The 19012-nt window shown below is 46.5% G+C and overlaps 1 long non-coding RNA gene across 1 annotated transcript, besides 6 other annotated features; it reads left to right on the top strand.

Moving 5' to 3' along the window:
- Nucleotides 2683-3376: an enhancer, noted in NCBI's record as "H3K27ac-H3K4me1 hESC enhancer chr6:861903-862596 (GRCh37/hg19 assembly coordinates)". NCBI's record gives its function as "activates a minimal SCP1, AML or CMV promoter by ChIP-STARR-seq in primed H9 embryonic stem cells {active_cell/tissue: H9 hESC(primed)}" and the evidence as "EXISTENCE:reporter gene assay evidence [ECO:0000049][PMID:30033119]".
- Nucleotides 2683-4764: a biological region, named in NCBI's record as "CDK7 strongly-dependent group 2 enhancer GRCh37_chr6:862355-863554".
- Nucleotides 3135-4334: an enhancer, noted in NCBI's record as "CDK7 strongly-dependent group 2 enhancer chr6:862355-863554 (GRCh37/hg19 assembly coordinates)". NCBI's record gives its function as "activates an origin of replication core promoter dependent on BRD2, BRD4, P300/CBP, MED14 and CDK7 cofactors, with strong dependence on CDK7, by STARR-seq in HCT116 cells {active_cell/tissue: HCT116}" and the evidence as "EXISTENCE:reporter gene assay evidence [ECO:0000049][PMID:35650434]".
- Nucleotides 3377-4070: an enhancer, noted in NCBI's record as "H3K27ac hESC enhancer chr6:862597-863290 (GRCh37/hg19 assembly coordinates)". NCBI's record gives its function as "activates a minimal SCP1, AML or CMV promoter by ChIP-STARR-seq in primed H9 embryonic stem cells {active_cell/tissue: H9 hESC(primed)}" and the evidence as "EXISTENCE:reporter gene assay evidence [ECO:0000049][PMID:30033119]".
- Nucleotides 4071-4764: an enhancer, noted in NCBI's record as "H3K27ac hESC enhancer chr6:863291-863984 (GRCh37/hg19 assembly coordinates)". NCBI's record gives its function as "activates a minimal SCP1, AML or CMV promoter by ChIP-STARR-seq in primed H9 embryonic stem cells {active_cell/tissue: H9 hESC(primed)}" and the evidence as "EXISTENCE:reporter gene assay evidence [ECO:0000049][PMID:30033119]".
- Nucleotides 8741-8923: a silencer, noted in NCBI's record as "fragment chr6:867961-868143 (GRCh37/hg19 assembly coordinates)". NCBI's record gives its function as "represses an EF-1alpha promoter that drives an FKBP-Casp9 reporter gene in an ReSE screen in K562 erythroleukemia cells {active_cell/tissue: K562}" and the evidence as "EXISTENCE:reporter gene assay evidence [ECO:0000049][PMID:32094911]".
- LOC101927691 (uncharacterized) lies at nt 9278-17393 on the top strand. Its single transcript, NR_110853.1, has 3 exons — nt 9278-9820; nt 14531-14754; nt 15752-17393. It is a non-coding gene; the product is annotated as an uncharacterized LOC101927691 (long non-coding RNA).
- The last annotated feature ends 1619 nt before the right edge of the window (nt 17394-19012 follow it).

Here is a 19012-nt window from a genome sequence, read left to right on the forward strand (position 1 = left end):
AATGTAATCAACCATAAGGCCCTTGGGGAAAGTATTGTATTTGTTTGGAAGAAATATTTTAGTATAAGACTCCCGTGAACATGCTCAAAGACAAAGGATAGTTTCTCAATAGTCTTCTAAGGGTAGGAATGATTGATGAGAGGGGATTTTGATTTGTTGAGCACTTAGGTAAGTTTTAGTATACACATTTGGGGACAGAAGCCAGGGCAGAAATAAACTGCTCAGCATAAAATGGGAAAGAGGTGACAAGGAGGCTAATTCTGGGAAGAGAGGAGCCACCTCCTTGCTGGTATGGACAATTTGTAGGTATTGGGCGTTGAGCATCACACACAATCCCCTTTCTCTGGCTTTGTAATTGCCTGATGTGTTCTTCCTGTCTGCTGCACAAACAAAGACCACAGCATAGCAATAAAGAAAGAGTTTAGGCTGGGCACAGTGGCTCACGCCTGTAATCCTAGCACTTTGGGCGGCCGAGGCGGGTGGATCACAAGGTCAGGAGATCGAGACCATCCTGGCTAACATGGTGAAACCCCATCTCTACTAAAAAAAAAAAAGTACAAAAAGTTAGCCGGGCATGGTGGCAGGTGCCTGTAGTCCCAGCTACTCGGAAGGCTGAGGCAGGAGAATGGCGGAAACCCGGGAGCCGGAGGTTGCAGTGAGCCACTGCACTCCAGCCTGGGTGACAGAGTGAGACTCTGTCTCAAAAAGAAAGAAAGAAAGAAAGAGTTTAATAGACACAAGGCCAACCACCTCACGTAGGAGACAGAGTCATTACTCAAATCAATATCATCTCAGGCTCCTGGGTTAGGGGGCTTTCAAAGGCCGTTTTAGGGAAGGGGTAGAGGTGGCCAGGTAATGAGTGCTTACTGCTGGTGGGTTGGGACAGAGATGAAATCACAGGGGGTTGAAGCTGTCCTCCTGCCCACTGAGTCACTTCTGGGTGGGGCCACAAGGGTGGGGTTGGTGGGTTTAGGCAGAGCCATCAGGTCCAGGTGGAGCCGTGCGTGTCACACATGCAAAAATCCTGAAAAGATTTCTCAACAGGCCCATCTACCACAATGCTGTTATTTGCAGGAGTATCTCCTGACCAGTCCACACCTTGGCAGAACCAGGCTCCTCTCCTCCCCTGCCCTGATGGCCTTTCATTAGCTTTACAGAGGCTGTAGAACTTGGGGGAAGGGCTATCATCATTTAAGCTCTAACCTAAATGTCTTCTGAAGTTAGCTCAGCCACAAAGCCCAGAAATAATTAAGGGGAAGACAAGATGGGGGGTGGGTTAGATCAGATCTCTTTTACTACCATAGTTTTCTGTTATAATTTTTGCAAAGGCAGTTTCAGCTTCTCTGCAAAATCTCAGGCAAGTTATACATCACTCAGTAATAATTCCAGGCAAGTGGGTTCTTTTGGAAAGCCTTGAGGCTCTTTGGTCTGTGTCCAGATTGGTTTTGGGGTGAAAGCAGAATCAGTTCACCTGGACGTAGGAGCTGGAGGATGATTTAGGGACACACCACAAGTACGTTGTTGGGCTCTGGTGCAGCATGCAGGAGAGGCTCTGGTGCAGCATGCAGGAGAGGCTCTGGTGCAGCATGCAGGAGAGGCTCTGGTGCAGCATGCAGGAGAGGCTCTGGTGCAGCATGCAGGAGAGGCTCTGGTGCCTGGAGCCCCCCACTCCTCCCCACTGGCCTGTCTTCACCTGCCTCACCTGACTTAAGTCCCACACTGTAAGATGATCTAATGGTTTAGCCAATAGACAAGGAAATTGGTCACATCTGCGATTCCCAGGGAGCGCTCCACATCGCACAAATGGCCTCAGGGTAGATATTCCGCCACGCAAGGTTCTGTGGGAAGATGAATTGGGGGAACATGGGGTTGAAGTAAATGAAAGAGCTCCTTGCTGTGACATTAGTTTGAGCCTTTAATGGGATTCTACGGTAATGTGGCATTTTCCGAACATTTTAACCACAGTCTGGTGTGTGTGTGTGTGTGTGTGTGTGTATGTTACGTTCACATTTGTGGCTGGTGCTCTCTGGAACATAAACACACCTACAGCAACACTGCTGTAGAATGAAGGGGCAGAGCTAGAGGGGCCAATGGGTCCAAAGGGAGGGGCCCAGGGAAGACTCAGCGGGTTCTCTCACCTAGTTTAGACACTCTACCGCAGCCACTGGGATCCTGTTCCCACATGGAAGCGCGCCATTCAGATGTGGAAAACACAGCAAAAGTAGCTGAGATAGGCTTTGGCTGGGAGTGGCCCCAGTGGAAGCCCTGACACCCTCTCCTCCTGGCAGGCCCCAGGCCCCGCACACCTTCTGCCTGCCCCCCGTGGGGCCCTCTGTTCCGCTGCTCTTGGCCTAGGCACAGGGGGCTACTTTTCTGCTGCTGCTCCTGTATGGTTCCCTTCCCACGCCCCACTAAGGTGGCCTGGCCCTGGACCAGCCTCTCAACCCCCTCTTATGATGTTTGCCTCTTGAGGGCTGTCACAACCTCATTAGGGCCACCCCATTGATTATCCAAGGATGGGCGCAGGGAGCAGCCCCACCCTGAGCAGGTGGGGCCTTGCTCTCCAAGGGCCTGGGAGAAAGACAGCTCCTGCAGCCACCATGATGCCACTATGCAGAATCCCCGAGGTTCTGTGGCTTCTGTAGGCTCAGAGCCCTGGACACCAGTGCCAGGGTCATCGAAGGAAGGAGGAACAGAGTGCGTCACTGAAGGTAGCAGGACAAGAATCCACATCGGGAAGCCACCACTTCCTGAGTCATATTATTTCTGTATCTGGAAAGCAAGCTTCCAGCAGTCCAGTGTGCTGTTGGAGCAGGACAAGAATCCACATCGGGAAGCCACCACTTCCTGAGTCATGTTATTTCTGTATCTGGAAAGCAAGCTTCCAGCAGTCCAGTGTGCTGTTGGAGCAGGACAAGAATCCACATCGGGAAGCCACCACTTCCTGAGTCATATTATTTCTGTATCTGGAAAGCAAGCTTCCAGCAGTCCAGTGTGCTGTTGGAGCAGGACAAGAATCCACATCGGGAAGCCACCACTTCCTGAGTCATGTTATTTCTGTATCTGGAAAGCAAGCTTCCAGCAGTCCAGTGTGCTGTTGGAGCAGGACAAGAATCCACATCGGGAAGCCACCACTTCCTGAGTCATATTATTTCTGTATCTGGAAAGCAAGCTTCCAGCAGTCCAGTGTGCTGTTGGAGCAGGACAAGAATCCACATCGGGAAGCCACCACTTCCTGAGTCATGTTATTTCTGTATCTGGAAAGCAAGCTTCCAGCAGTCCAGTGTGCTGTTGGAGCAGGACAAGAATCCACATCGGGAAGCCACCACTTCCTGAGTCATATTATTTCTGTATCTGGAAAGCAAGCTTCCAGCAGTCCAGTGTGCTGTTGGAGCAGGACAAGAATCCACATCGGGAAGCCACCACTTCCTGAGTCATATTATTTCTGTATCTGGAAAGCAAGCTTCCAGCAGTCCAGTGTGCTGTTGGAGCAGGACAAGAATCCACATCGGGAAGCCACCACTTCCTGAGTCATATTATTTCTGTATCTGGAAAGCAAGCTTCCAGCAGTCCAGTGTGCTGTTGGAGCAGGACAAGAATCCACATCGGGAAGCCACCACTTCCTGAGTCATATTATTTCTGTATCTGGAAAGCAAGCTTCCAGCAGTCCAGTGTGCTGTTGGAGCAGGACAAGAATCCACATCGGGAAGCCACCACTTCCTGAGTCATATTATTTCTGTATCTGGAAAGCAAGCTTCCAGCAGTCCAGTGTGCTGTTGGAGCAGGACAAGAATCCACATCGGGAAGCCACCACTTCCTGAGTCATATTATTTCTGTATCTGGAAAGCAAGCTTCCAGCAGTCCAGTGTGCTGTTGGAGCAGGACAAGAATCCACATCGGGAAGCCACCACTTCCTGAGTCATGTTATTTCTGTATCTGGAAAGCAAGCTTCCAGCAGTCCAGTGTGCTGTTGGAGCAGGACAAGAATCCACATCGGGAAGCCACCACTTCCTGAGTCATGTTATTTCTGTATCTGGAAAGCAAGCTTCCAGCAGTCCAGTGTGCTGTTGGAGCAGGACAAGAATCCACATCGGGAAGCCGCCACTTCCTGAGTCATATTATTTCTGTATCTGGAAAGCAAGCTTCCAGCAGTCCAGTGTGCTGTTGGAGCAGGACAAGAATCCACATCGGGAAGCCACCACTTCCTGAGTCATATTATTTCTGTATCTGGAAAGCAAGCTTCCAGCAGTCCAGTGTGCTGTTGGAGCAGGACAAGAATCCACATCGGGAAGCCACCACTTCCTGAGTCATATTATTTCTGTATCTGGAAAGCAAGCTTCCAGCAGTCCAGTGTGCTGTTGGAGCAGGACAAGAATCCACATCGGGAAGCCACCACTTCCTGAGTCATATTATTTCTGTATCTGGAAAGCAAGCTTCCAGCAGTCCAGTGTGCTGTTGGAGCAGGACAAGAATCCACATCGGGAAGCCACCACTTCCTGAGTCATATTATTTCTGTATCTGGAAAGCAAGCTTCCAGCAGTCCAGTGTGCTGTTGGAAGGCAGCACCTTTATTAAAAGAAAAGAGGTGTTAGGGCATGAGACTCACCTGCCATGCCTGCTGTGTGAGGGACGCTGGTCTCGGCACCCAGTTACTGAAGTCTGGTTACAGATCAAATCTCATTACCATAAATATAACTTGGTGCTATACTTTTACCAACAAGTCTTTGCTTCAGGCAATTGTCTACTTACTCAAAGTAACATTTAAGTCAATTGGAATATTCCATTTCCATGAAATAAGTTGAACAGCCCCCTTGGGATATGTTACAGTTGGGTTTGCCAGTAAGAGCATGAACACAATTGTTCTGAAATCATAGCAAAAATTGCAAAGGGCTTTCAAAAGTGCCTTTTTTGGGGGTCAATTTGTTTGCTTAAATGAGGGCACAAGGAGAAAGGTAGATAATACCTGGGTGTTTCTCACCTCAGACAGTTAATGGAGTCTTGTCCAAAGAGAGGAGGAATGATGGCCCCCACCTAGCTTTTCTCCTGCTTTAGGAAGCTTCCTTGCTGTCATTTGCATACCCAGCAGTAATTGATTTATGCTATTGTTTTGGAAGTATATCCTGTTTATAATTTTAAATATAAAGAATATAAAATGTGGCCAGGTGTGGTTTACTCCCGGCACTTTGGGAGGCTGAGGCGGGAGGATTGCTTAAAGCCAGGAGTTCAAGACCAGCCCTGGTGACCTAGCAAGACCCTGACTGCACAGAACAGGGTGCCCACTCCTGCCTGTCTTTCCTTTCTCCACCCTCCCTTACGCATCTTTGAGATCAGCTTCTTTAATTCTAGAAATACAGATCTTATCAAGAAAGGCCTTTGCTGTGCACAAGTTTAAGAAAATGTTACTTGTGAAGATATTTAGGTGGGGTTCAGAATCTCAGAAGTAACCTGAGACTGTTCTGAGTAAGCATTTGTAGCTCTAAGATATTTATGTAGCTACTTATGTTTTCCTAGACTTTTTATTAGTTCCTAAATAAAAATCCTCAAGATAAGGGCTTGTCAGGAACATAGGAGGCTGTCTGAGTTTTTAGTAAAGGTTTGCATCCCGCATAGCACAACCTAGCTTTTATTTTATTTTCGAAGTAATTCCAGAGCCTAGAGATATTTATTTTTTACTCTCTGAGGGAAAACATAGCTAATGGGAAAGTCACTGGGAACTACTTGTGTGTTTCCTGAGCTTCTTGGTGGGAGGGCGTATTGGTGAAATCCCTTATTTGCCTACTTGTTACTGTTTCCAGGAATGCGTGTCATCGCCAGATGCCAAGGGACTGTGTCTGGGGACAATTGTTCTCCATTTTCTCTAGGGTTTGACTCCTGGCAGTTCCCACCTTGTGTGAAGAGGCTATAGAACCACATGTTACAGAAAAGAGTGTAGGCCGGTCGCGGTGGCTCACGCCTGTAATCCCAGCACTTTGGGAGGTCGAGGCGGGCTGATCACGAGGTCAGGAGTTCGAGACAACCTGGTCAATATGCTGAAACCCCGTCTCTACTAAAAAAAAAAAATACAAAAATTCGCCCAGTGTGGTGGCGCATGCTTGTAGTTCCAGCTACTTGGGAGGCTGAGGCAGCAGAATGACTGGAATGCAGGAGGCGGAGGTTGCAGTGAGCCAAGATCGTGCCACTGCACTCCAGCCTGGGCAACAGAGCGAGACTCCGTCTCAAAAAAAAGAAAAAAAAGAAAGGAATGTAGTTACTTTGGCATTTTGGTTTTGACTTACTGGGTTTGGGTGAGAGCATTGCAGACAGCAAAGTGAACATTTGTGCCTTTGTTCGGCATTGACAGCGCATTTTCTGTATGCCAGGTGGTGCATATCCTGTCTTGGGGATTCAGGGTTGCATGAGGTGGCAAGGCTGTAAGCCAAGGGTCCTAGTTCAGTGAGACAGGGACCACCCAAAGGCTATCACCGGGGTTGCTGGCCTCCTGAAGACCTTCACATGCAGCGGGGCTCTCTGCAGGACAGGCCCGAAGGGTGGAGTCACCTTAGACAAACGGAGGCCCCAAGGCCTGTGTGGGGGTCCCTGCCTGGACACCACTGATGCGTCAGGGGGCTGGAAGGCCCAACAGTGTGAGCCCAGGAGCGGCCTCTCAGGGTGACATTTTTGGCACTCTGGGGGCATCAGGGAAAGGGGCTGGGGTGGCTGACCCAGGAGGGGCAGCTAACTTTCCAGAAGTACCTCTCCCTGCCCTCCTCTGGGCTGAGACCAAGTGACTGTTTGCACACAATGTTTTCATTTTAATTTACAGTTTCCAAGGGCTAATCTCAGGTGGGACTTCTCATACTGACTGTAAGTAGAGTACGCCCATTTTATAACTCCTTTATCTTACTTACTTAAGGACGACAGATAGCAACTCCTTCACAAATTCATACCTTTTCTGAGAGGAAAATGGTGACAGGGCTGCGTGGACCCATTTTATCAGCTCCTGTTTCAATACTGGCATTAGGAATGATAAACAGTGATATAAACAGTTATTTAACATAAAGGTTAAGTTGGTCAGAATAAACCCCGAGGGCTGACACAGGTCAACCAAACCCTCCATTGCCTAAGTTTACCATTAAGAAAAAAATAACCCGAGAGAGTTAATCAAGTGAAACCGAAAAGTAAAGAAAGGTGTGGGCTACTTTTAAAAGTATTTTTCCATTTAATCTACTTTTTGCAGCCAAAAGTGGAACTGGCCCTCCCTGGCTTGCCCGGGCTGAGACTCCTGACTTCAGCACTGAATTTGGCGGCCACAGAACGGGCCGGGACCGGCTGCAGGGTTTCAGTTCGAGTTTGCTGGTACCTGGCTGGCTACTTCCTGAAAATACTATGTTCCCCACCCCCAAAATCATCTGTTTCGAAAATAACAAATAGGGCATATTTTCCCCTCCAAATAGAAATAAAAGACAGGTTGACTTTTGTGTGTGTGACATTTTTCTCCTTTGGTGCCCAAAATAAAGCCAGATGAAATAAGTGTGTGGGGAAGGGAGAGAGGTAAAAGGCAGCTGGTATGAAAAGGAAAACCTCTGAACTCAGATTTTAGAATTTTTGATACTTATCTCAAGAGACTATACGTAAAGAGGCCACTTAGTAATGCAAATGAGCTGATGAACTATGACTAGACACTTAAATTCCAGAAAAACAGGGAAGAACTCTTGCAGCTGGCCCCATCGACAAGGAGCGGGTTTAGACTCATAATCTTTATAGTAGAGTGTTTCCTTAGAGACCTCCACGTTCCCTTATCACTCCCATTTACAGATCTGAAAACAGACCTTCTGCCTGGCGCAAACTCCTCTACCCCCAAAAGAAGGCTTTTTTTTTTTTTGTAATTAAATATAATCTTAAAGTGTGTGACTTACTGTCAGAAAATTGAAAATTTGCAGATCTGCTTGTGTTAGACAAATTTATATTTGCAGAGATAAAATGCTTAGTAAAAGTTTCATATCACATCTATTTTTTTTTTTGACATGGAGTTTTGCTCTTGTTGCCCAGGCTGGAGTGCAATGGCGGCATGACCTTGGCTCACTGCAACCTCCACCTCCTGGGTTCAAGCAATTCTCCTGCCTCAGCCTCCCAAGTAGTTGGGATTACAGGCATGCACCGCCACGCCCGGCTAATTTAGTATTTTTAGTAGAGATGGGGTTTCTCCATGTTGGTCAGGCTGGTCTCGAACTCCCGACCTCAGGTGATCTGCCCTCCCTGGCCTCCCAAAGTGCTGGGATTACAGGCGTAAGCCACCACACCTGGCCACATCCACTATTAACAGCAAATGCTGACTGACATTGACTGTCTCTTTGGCCAGTGCAAAGACCAGGCTGTTAAAGGATAGCTGCAGCCTTTGGCCTCTGACAGGCGGCCAGGACTCACGAGTGATCTCAGTGATTGTTGTCAGCTTTCAATGAACTCATAAATCCAGATGTGTGGTGGACGTGCAATGCCCTAATTACATGTTTTATGAACTTTCAACTAAGTGTAGATTTTTAAGATTCATTTTTATGAACAATTAGATAAAAGTGACTTCATAATAAACAGAAATGGGATTTTAAAAAATGTGAATCTAGGCCGGGCGCGGTGGCTCACGCCTGTAATCCCAGCACTTTGGGAGGCCGAGACGGGCGGATCACGAGGTCAGGAGATCGAGACCATCCTGGCTAACACGGTGAAACCCTGTCTCTACTAAAAATACAAAAAAATAGCCGGGTGTGGTGGCGCGCGCCTGTAGTCCCAGCTACATGGGAGGCTGAGGCAGGAGAATGGCGTGAACCCGGGAGGCGGAGCTTGCAGTGAGTCGAGATCGCGCCACTGCACTCCAGCCTGGGCGACAGAGCGAAACTCTGTCTCAAAAAAAAAAAAATGTGAATCTATTCTAAAAGATGGATCATTTGGCTCTTTGGTTTGATATTTGCTTCAATATCCAATATCAGCCAACCTTGACCTGGACACTGTAGTCATAGACTCTTAACAGTCAGCTGTGACTTCAGAGACCATTTGGATGAAACTGTTTAATGGAAAACCTCTTTCATGACAGTCCTGCCTTGCTAGTCAAACTCGGCCCGGACGCACTTAGGGACGAGGTGCTAACTCTCACAGAAACTACCTGATCTTTCTTATTTGAATAAACCCCACCTCCCTGTAACTTCCTCCTCATTCTTTTGTTCTCTGACAGCCTCGGGATATTTGAAGGCAACCTGGGTTGGTCCCAGCCTTTCCAGCACCTCCTTTCTCCAGCTTGGACTAGAAGCTCTTGGCGTGTGTCAGCTGTTTGTGACATGACATGGGTTTGAGACTCCTTCTTTCCCAGCGTGCCCCACAGGGGAAGTCTCTAGAGCCAGGCCCACCCGGGGACAGCAGAGCAGAGCCCTCCCTCTACCTCCAGGACCTAAATTCTGCAGTAGGGCCATCTGCCCTGACACCTTCCAAAAGGGTCATGGTAGAAGATATGAAGCAGAAGTCTGCGAGGATTTCATCTTCCAACTTTGAGGACCAGGTATCTGCCCACCCACTCCCATTTCGCCTTGTCTTTGGTGGAAGCTGGGCTGCATCTGGAGCTGGTGGGTCTGTGGCCGAAGATCTGCCTTGTACAGCAGCAACAGGCTCCCCTCCTCTCCTCTTGCTTGCCTGATGTGGTTGCACTCAACATGCTTCTTAACTTTTGTAAAATTCTACAGTGGAATCTTCAGGACAAGGCCACTGAGTGGTCTCCTGGGTATTTCCTGTTACTTCGACCATCCCTCACTGGGCACTGGCCCACTCTGCCTTTATTTCCAGGGAATGTCCTCCTCAGGTAAAACATAGCAGAACACAGATAACACACTAGCTGATTTCTTGGTTTTTGAATCTGAAAAGTCTGGACCCTGGCACAGAACTCACAATGGGCCCCAGAAAGTATTTCTTGAGTGGGAAGCTGGACAGCTGGAGGGGAAGTGGGCCGCGAGAGTGGTGGCCCTCCCCAGGGACCCTGTATTCTGCCCCTCATGCCCTGGGCTGGTGGTGGAGGTGAGGCTGGGGGCTGACTTCAGAGTGCCCAGCGTGGAGCAGGGACAGAGGAGAGGTCTGCGGGTGTGTCTGGAGGACCAGGTTGGGAGCCTTGCGGAGGTTTCTGTCCTGGAGCCATCAAACGTTTCCTGGACACCCAAGGGCTGCATGGTTGTGGCAGGGGAGAGGTGTGAGGGGCAGCCAGGACCTGCCTGTATCCCAACCAGAGGGCCAGCAGGGTGTCTCCACAGCACCCTGCATGAGTGGACCGTGAGGCTCCACCCACCCCCAGGCGATCCTCCTGTCTCCTGTGGAATCACAGGGACCCCAGGTTGGTGCAGAGCATCTCTGTCAGTGCAGAATGGGGCTTCTCATCGAGGTCAGCTCACCTACAGAACAAGGAAGTTATGTTTCCTACACACTTGCAATCGGGAACTGAGCCCAGCGCCCACTATGCATTTAGCAACAATCACATCTCTCCTTCTGAGTTAAAATACCTGTTATGGGTAAGAGCAAGATGGAAAATACAGCTGTGCAGGGAGACCAGCTTCCTCCTTGGACATGCAGGAAGCCCATTTTCCAGATGGCTGTGCCTCATATTTCAGGACAAATGCTAAGGTGATGAGGGGTAAGGAAAAAACACATAAGCTTTTTATTCACTTATTCATTCAGCATTTATGGAGCATCTGCTGTGCCGGGAAATACAATGATGAATAAAATAGACAAGGTTGCCCAGCAACATGTGCATGGAGATTTCGTCTTTTCTGTGTACAACCCCAGCCCCAGGAGGCAAGCCCGCTGGGACACACATCCCGGGATGCTGAGTAGAGGAACTCTAAATATGCCTCCTCGTATCAACCACTGACCTTGTCCCTGGGGTGTGCCCTCGGCCATCACTCTTGAGGAATGAGGTGGACCCTGAGTTCTACTTGCTAGTCCAAATGTTTTTCTCGTATGGGTCCTGCCACAGATTTCCTGAAGGTGTGTCACATTTCCAGTTGAACTTACCCAAACATTCACAATCATGGGTGGGACTAAAGTATATATTGCCACTCTTTTCTTTAAAGACTATGAGAACAGGCCCAGTGACCTGTTAAATGAAGAGGTGACATGACATGAGGTGTGGCAGGACTCAGCTTTTCCTTTCTTTAATAACAGCTTTGTTGAGATATAACTTGCATACCATATGCCTTTACCGACTTAAAGGGTGCAATTCAATGTTGTTTAGTGGATTAGAGTCGTGTAACCATCGTCAGGATAGATGTGAGAACATATTTATCACCCTCCAAAAAGCCCTGTACCTCTTAGCAGCCACTCCGCCTTTCTCCCTCCCACCCGCAGTCATTGACACCCATAAATCTATTTTGTGTCTCCCTAGATCTGCCTTTTCTGGATATTTCTTGTAAACGGACTCAGACAAAATGGATCTTCTGTGTCTGGCTTCGTTCACTTAGCCTAATATTTTCAAGGTTCATTGCAGCATGTATCAGTGAAACTTGTACCAATACTTCATTTCTTATCATGGCCAAATAACATTCCATTGCATGAATACAGCACACTATTTATTCACTCATCAGCTGATGAACATTTAGATTGTTCTGACTTTTTGCCTGTTATGGATAATGATGCCATTCATATACAGGTTGAGCATCCCTAATCCAAAAATCTGAAATCCAAAATGCTCCAAAATCTGAAACTTTTTGATCATGAACATGACACCAGAAGTGGAAAATTCTCCACCTGACCCCATGTGACGGGTCCCAGTAAAAATGCAGGCGCACAACACAATTTATTCAGCGTCCCTAAGTGGAAACACATCCCCCTTCAGCTGGGAAATATCTTTCCATAACATGCCCCAACTCCCCCCAGGACAGCACACCTACAAAGGGTAATAAAATGGCAAGTGTGCAGGCTGGACACACCAATGGTAGGTTCCCCACAGGGCCCCACAAGGGGCCAAGACCCATAACATGGGTGGCTGAGATAATGACACCTTCGCTTTCTGATGGTTCAGTGTACACACGTTTTGTTTCATGCACAAAATTATTAGAAATGTTGTATAAGATTACCATCAGGCTGTGTGTATAAGGTGTACATGAAACATAAATGAATTCCATGTTTAGACTTGGGTCCCATCCCCAAGATATCTCATTATGTATATGGAAATATTCCAAAATCCTCCCCGCCAAAAAATCTGGAACTTGAAGCACTTCTGGTCCCAAGCATTTTGGATAACCAATGCTCAAACTATACAAGTTTTCATGTGGATGTATGTTTTCATTTCTCTTAGGTATATATCTATGAATGGAGTTGCTGGGTCATATGGCAACTCTATCTTTAACCTTTTGAGGAACTCCCAGACTATTTTTCAAAGATGTACAATTTTACATTCCCACCAGTAACGTACGAGGTTCCGATTTCTCCACATCCTCGCCAACACTTGCTATTGTCTCTTTTTGATTGGAGCCATGCTAGTCAGTGGGAAGTGGCACCTCAGTGTGGTTTTGTTTGGTATTCCCCTGGTGGCTAATGAGGCTGAGCATCTTTTCATGTTTTCATGTGCTTGTCGTCCTTTTGCATATCTTCAGAGAAATGTCTATGTAAGTCTTTTGCTCATTTTGAAATTGGGTTATCGGCCTTTTTATTATTGAGTGCATATATTCTAGATACAAGCCTCTTATCAGATACATGACTCGAGAATATTTTCTTTCATTCTGTGGGTTGTCTTTTTTTTTTTTTTTTTTTTTAACGGAGTCTCACTCTGTCTCCCAGGCTAGAGTGCGGTCGTGTGATTTCACCTCACTGCAACCTCCGTCTCCTGGGTTCAAGCAATTCTCGTGCCTCAGCCTCCCAAGTAGCTGGGATTACAGGTGTGCACCACCATGCCCAGCTAATTTTTGTATTTTTAGTAGAGACGAGGTTTCATCATGTTGGCCAGGCTGGTCTTGAACTCCTGACCTCAGGTGATCCACCCACGTTGGCCTCCAAGAGTGTTGGGATTATAGGTGTGAGCCACTGCGCCCGGGTCTTTTCACTTTCTTGATGGTGTCTTAAATAAAAAGTTTTAAGCTTTGATTAAATCCAATTAATGTATGTCTCCTTTTGTTACTACAGGACACAGCTTCTTAATCATAAACAAATTAAAATCCTTTTAGAATGCCAATTACCTAAAGAGAGGTGGTGGTAAGATTTTTAAAGTGAGATGTTAAGTATGAAACTACTTTTTAAGTTTTCAGCTTAGAGATAAGAAGCAATTGTTATTTGAAAGCAGAATGTTTATTATACTATGGACACGAAAATACTTTTTTCTACTAAATATGAGACCTACCTCCACTGAAGGAACGTGTGATGAAAATCCTTTATGGAAATGTATAAGCATATTTCTGTCAAATTATCCTGCAGTAAAATAGTGGCTTTGGCATCCATTCTTGAGTAAAATTACAGTTTCTCTTCATTAATTTTATTTTGTACCTCATCCTGAGCACAGCTGCACTGTTGAGAGTAGGGTCAGGGTTCCCTGAATGGTGACGTCAGGGAGACTGTTGATGAGGAGCACTCAGGACGTCAGCTTTTCTTGTCTGAATTGGCCAATGAAAGTAAGGCCTAGCAAACTCTGAAAACCTTTGGAGGGAAATAAACGCATGGAAGTTCATCAGCTCTGGACTGCCAAATGCTTCCCTGGCAGAGCTGGAGAAACAGCCCCACCCTGGGGCAGGTGGTTCAGACACGGCCAGGACTCTGTCTGCGGTTGTTGTTCCTTTTCTTCTTCTACAAAAGTGAACGTTCCCGGGCTTAGTAAGCGTGGCCACAAATCAAGTTGTAGAGAAAATGAGGCCAGCCCAAAGTTTCTAGATTCATTATATCAGAGACCATTCTTTGAATGAACTCGATGATTGAAATTAAAGAGTGAAAAAAGTAAATGAACAAGTTCAATTTATGGGTGAAGTTTCTGTCCTACCCATCTGATGTGGGCTGAACTGTGTCCTGCTCCAACTCCCCCAGTTCCTCAGAATGTGGCTGTGTTTAGAGACAGGGCCTTTAGAGAGGTCGTGAAATTAAAATTAGGTGACCACGGTGGACTCCAATCCAATCTGACTGGGGACTGTGTAAGAAGAGGAGATTAGGACACAGACACGCACAGAAGGACCACCATGTGAGGACACAGGGAGAAGACGTCATCTACAAGCCAAGGAGGGAGGCCCCAAGGAGAATCCAGCCCTACACAACCCGATCTCAGGCTTCCAGCCTCCAGAACTGTGAGAGAATAAATTTCTGTTGTTTAAGCTGCCCAGTCTGTGGTACTTTGTCATGGCAGCTCTAGCAAACTAATACTCCTCTATTTTTACCAACTTCTGTGGAGAGAATTTTTTCCCTTTGGAAATGGAACATGGAACATTAAATGAAATGTTGATTGGCTTGTATGGATTTCATCATTATTGACTGCTTCAAGCAAAGGTATTTATCTTTCTAGCTGATGTTCATAAAGCATTTATAAAGTGCTTTTATTTTATCTTCACAGTTGATCATGAAAACAAGCAAGGCAGGTGGCTGTTACCATTAACTACAGTTCACATGGGAGGAAGCTGAGCAACTTCCCTAAGAAATTCAGCCAGGAAGTAGCAGAGAAAGGGGATTGAACCCAGGTCTTTGGCCTTGAGCCCCTTTTTCCCTCTGGTCAAAACTGCATTCCTGGAACTTATGGCTGGTTATGTTTCTGGGAAAGGCACTACAAGTTGAAATGATGTAAGTCTAATCTAATTTATTAACAGAAAAGTTTTATAATGGAGGTTATAGTATGGACTAAGTGCTTGATTCCCAAATTGTTATACAAAGAACAAAAATCCCATATGTGATCAAGCTCAGGCTATGTACCTATACAGTACACAGTGAGAACTGGCAATATAATGCCTGCTCTTATAAAATTTAATTTCATTTTTAATATAGTTCCCAGGAGAGGGTTTGTGCAGAGTAGAACGAAGGGCTAGAGGTTTTGTGGAAACAGCTGGAGATTTCCTGATTTCCAGAGGTTTTGCCTGAGGCTGAGGCTGCAGTGACCCGTGGGACAGATGCTGTGGGGGGATGGGGGAGGTCCCCTGAGGCCTGGCGCTGGGCCGTTGCATCTTTTCACCACTAGGACCCATCAGGAGGCTGTTGGAACATTGTGGGTACCCCAGGAGCATGGGAGCCTCTCTGGTTGAACCTTCGTTTGTGGAGGGAAGTATTACCCATCCTTTGCTTTGCTGCCTGAGGACCAGCGTGAGACTCAAGCTGCTTTGGTATGATAGAAAGCTGCTTTGCTCTTCTAGAAAACCAGGGCCCTACCACTTAGCAGCACACAAGAGTGGAACCCAGTGCCCAGGAACTGGCTTGTGTGTGCACTCAGGTCCCTCTGAGTGAAGATGTAACATCTAGCTCCAACCCAAAGCATATCTAAAACACCCGCCTATCTCTAAAACACCAAAGCGTCTCTAAAACACCTGCCCTTGCTTTGTGGAGAGGGTAGGAAAACAGGCGAAATCAGCGAATGTCTTTCCCGTGGCTCTAATGGCCAAAGCCCCACGGACAGCTGCCCTGTTTCCCGGTTCTCTAACCATGGCCAGCAGCAGCCTGTTTTCCCTTTCACATCATCCTGGTCACAGTGGACGTGAAATTTAGGGCATCTGTGTGGGGAGTCCTTGGCCATCTGTGTCTAGTACTAGTGAAACAGGAAGAAGTGCTTTTTCTTTTTCTTTTTTTTTAGAAAGTCCCTGTCCTGAGCCTGCAGCTGGAAGGAAGAGTGGCCTGGCGCTGTTATTTTTAGAAGATGGAGGGCTGGGTGAAGATTGCGGCCCAGGTCGGGGTCTGCTTCCCTTTATGGGGGTGATTTTTCCATGGAGATCCAGTGTTTCCTCTGGGCTCACTCATGAGGAAGATAACCCACTGCACTCTAGAAAAGGTGATCTGGCGGACGGTGGCTTGCTACGTTGCCTTTTCTGGGTCCTGATGACTCATCTTACAACAGCCCTGCTAGAAGAGAGATGCAAGGCTTTGAGACAAGAGTTCACCTGGCCACCGTCTTTACAATCCCTATACTCTATTTTAAATATAAACAGAACCAAAACACAGGCCAACAAACGAAAAACTCCAAAAAGAACTTTGTCATTTTTCTAATTTTCCCCTTCATCTCCTCTTTTATAGAGTGCACTTGTCTGCCTATTTTCCTATCTCATGTATCTATCAATCCATCTCCTATCGTCTCTCTATCATCTACCCATCCATGCAGCTATCTAAACTTGCAATCTAAACTTGATAGGAAATCAGGGAAGCACAAATGTCTCTCACCCCCACATTGTCAGTGGGAAAACTACTCTCTTGTTAGCTGTGAAAATATCACTCCATTGACCTTTTGACAGATCTCTGGGCCTGAACCTAATGACCCAGTTATGTCCTATTTTCTGTAGCCCTGATGGGAAAAGGAGGTGGGTTATGTAAAGAGAGAAAAAGAGGATAGATCCATGAGATTGTTCAGTTCCACTTCAGCGTCTATGTGGAGATGAGACCAAACCATTCGTGACAGAATGGAATCAATTGTTTTCTTCTCCAGATTTCCCAGAAAAGTGATCTCCTCCCATAGTGGTCGAGCTGTTTGTTTTCTGGGACTGAGATTTAGCAGGGTTTTGTTTGTTTGCTGGGTGAGGGCAACACGAGGGGATGAGGTACCATACCAAACTGAGCTTCTGATGTAATGTTAGCAAGCTGGATTGCATTCCCATTTTACACTCTTCCACTGGTCTAGAGAAGACGCTTTAGGAAATGAACACGTAGCTAGCATGAGAGTTTAATAAAAGGCTGATGCTTCATCTCTTGGCTTAATCATTTGATTGCCAAGGAGGCTGTCTTTCCCTATACCTTATTCTCAGCTGATAGCCTGGTGCCCTTGACTGTCCAAAACTGTTACAGGCCCATAGTCCAAGACAAGATTCTCATGAGAAAAAGTGCAGGAGAGACAGGAAATGGGACCCCAGGAGTCTGTTCTCATGACATGAATTCAGTGGAAACAATGGGATGGGTCCGCTCTTTTCCAGTTTTTGGTTGACTTTCTTCTTTGATGATCTTTCTTTCTCCTGACCCTTCCGCCCACCCTGACCCTCTCCCAGGGATGGGAAGCAGGATATTTTCATAAAGCCTTTGTTCCTGGGAGGAGCTCATGCTCTGTCTCGGGTCAAACTCTCCCTTCCCATTCCAACTACTCAGGTGCCCATGGACTTCCTGCAGGAACATCTCCAGGAGTCCAGGCTTCCCTGCCCATATTTTATCTGGATGGGAGTAAGACACACCCGTCTAATTCACGTAAAATCTAAATTGCTTTTTAAAATGGCACAAAATAAAATATTAAACACCAATTGAGATATTCATTGTCCTTTTGATGTTAGCGAGGACCTCACCCAAACTATTCAAAGAAGGTAAACTTTGCTTCCGAAGCAGAAGGTAGGAGCTGCACTGTGAGCTGTCTGTGATCCCGAAGAGCTTGCAGGAGGCGGTTGCCACCAGGGCATTTATGGTGTGGACGGGAGCAGGGAATTCAAGGATGTGATTATTATTAACTTGTATAATGTGTGGTTCCTGTAGCTGATAGAGGATGCTTTGGTGAGTCCTATGCTGCTTTTCAGCCCCCCAGCATCACCTGAAGTTCTGCAGAGCAGACGGGGCTACTCACTCCACAATGGCTAACTAGTCAAAGTGGACTCAAAGGGATTAGCTTTCTTAATTCAGGTTCCAAATTTAGGGGTACTTGCTGTCAGTATCCAAGGTCTCAATTCTTGACCTTCCAAGCACATCTTTACAATGGCTGCTTGAACATTTTTCTAGCTTAAAGAATTTCCTGTTAGAGAAACTCCACTTTTCTCCACCCACGCCTTAGAAAACACTCCTTGTGACATTATCTCAGTACCAGCCTCGAAGAAGCAAGCAGATCCTCAGTCTCTGTCCCTCTCCTCAGGGATGGCTGTGCATCTTTGACTTTCTCTGGCACATGCCATGGGCTGCAGTGGGTTTGTAAGATGACACTCCAATGCTATCACCATGCTTTGCTAAATGAACATTGCTGTATAATACTGCTCTACATACAAAGCTTCTTCCAGCTTCATTTTCGTTGGTTTATACACACATAAATTCAGGACAAAACCCATCACCCTTATTCCTGTACTGAAAATGCAGTTTCTGATGCTTGAAACGGGAGACATTTGCCCTTCCCCTAACCTGGGAGTAACCTCTTCTCCAAACAAGCTTCTTTGTAATAAGTATCTGAAAGGCAGCAGCAAATTTAAAGGGTTCAGCATTCAGCTGAAAATTGGAAAATCCACAAAGACAGGTTTACAAAACATCATTTGCTTTGGACTCAGACGAGATCAAGAGAATTGTCCATATTGCTCACCTCATCTCCCTGACTCTCTCTCCCCTAAAATTTATTTTCACAGTTTTAGGTGGAAAGGCCATTCCCCAGCTGCAGGTGGTTTTGAGGCCCCACACCTGGGCACTGTGACTTTTGTATGTTTATGGTCTTAACCTGCCCTATAAGAGTATACATATTCCAGTGCAACTTGTGAAACCTAATACAGCGTTTTCAGAGACCTTCCTGACATTTTCCTGAAGGGAAGTTATCGTCAACTTATGTTAATGAGAAAACTACACAAGTGGAGGTAAACTTCTCTATAATCAATCAAGATTTCCTCTGCTGAAATGCTCCATGCCCACCTGAGAGTTGGAAAAGAGCCACAGGAAAACTCGTACAGGCCTTGGCATTGCCCACTCATCCCAAGTCAGACCTAGTCACATGGGAAGAAGGCACTTGCTTCTCTTCACAGGCATTGTTCAACCATATGTTCAAGGCAAAGTTTGCTCCACCAGATAAACAGGTTGGCTGCAGAGTAGGATACTTACTCCTGTTCATTTGTTTAGGTCCATAAGTGAATTTATAACTCTCAGGTTATTGCTGTAGGAATCTCAGTGAGGGCTATGAGCG

Source organism: Homo sapiens, chromosome 6, assembly GCF_000001405.40.
Source record: "Homo sapiens chromosome 6, GRCh38.p14 Primary Assembly".
Taxonomy (NCBI): Eukaryota; Metazoa; Chordata; class Mammalia; order Primates; family Hominidae; genus Homo; species Homo sapiens.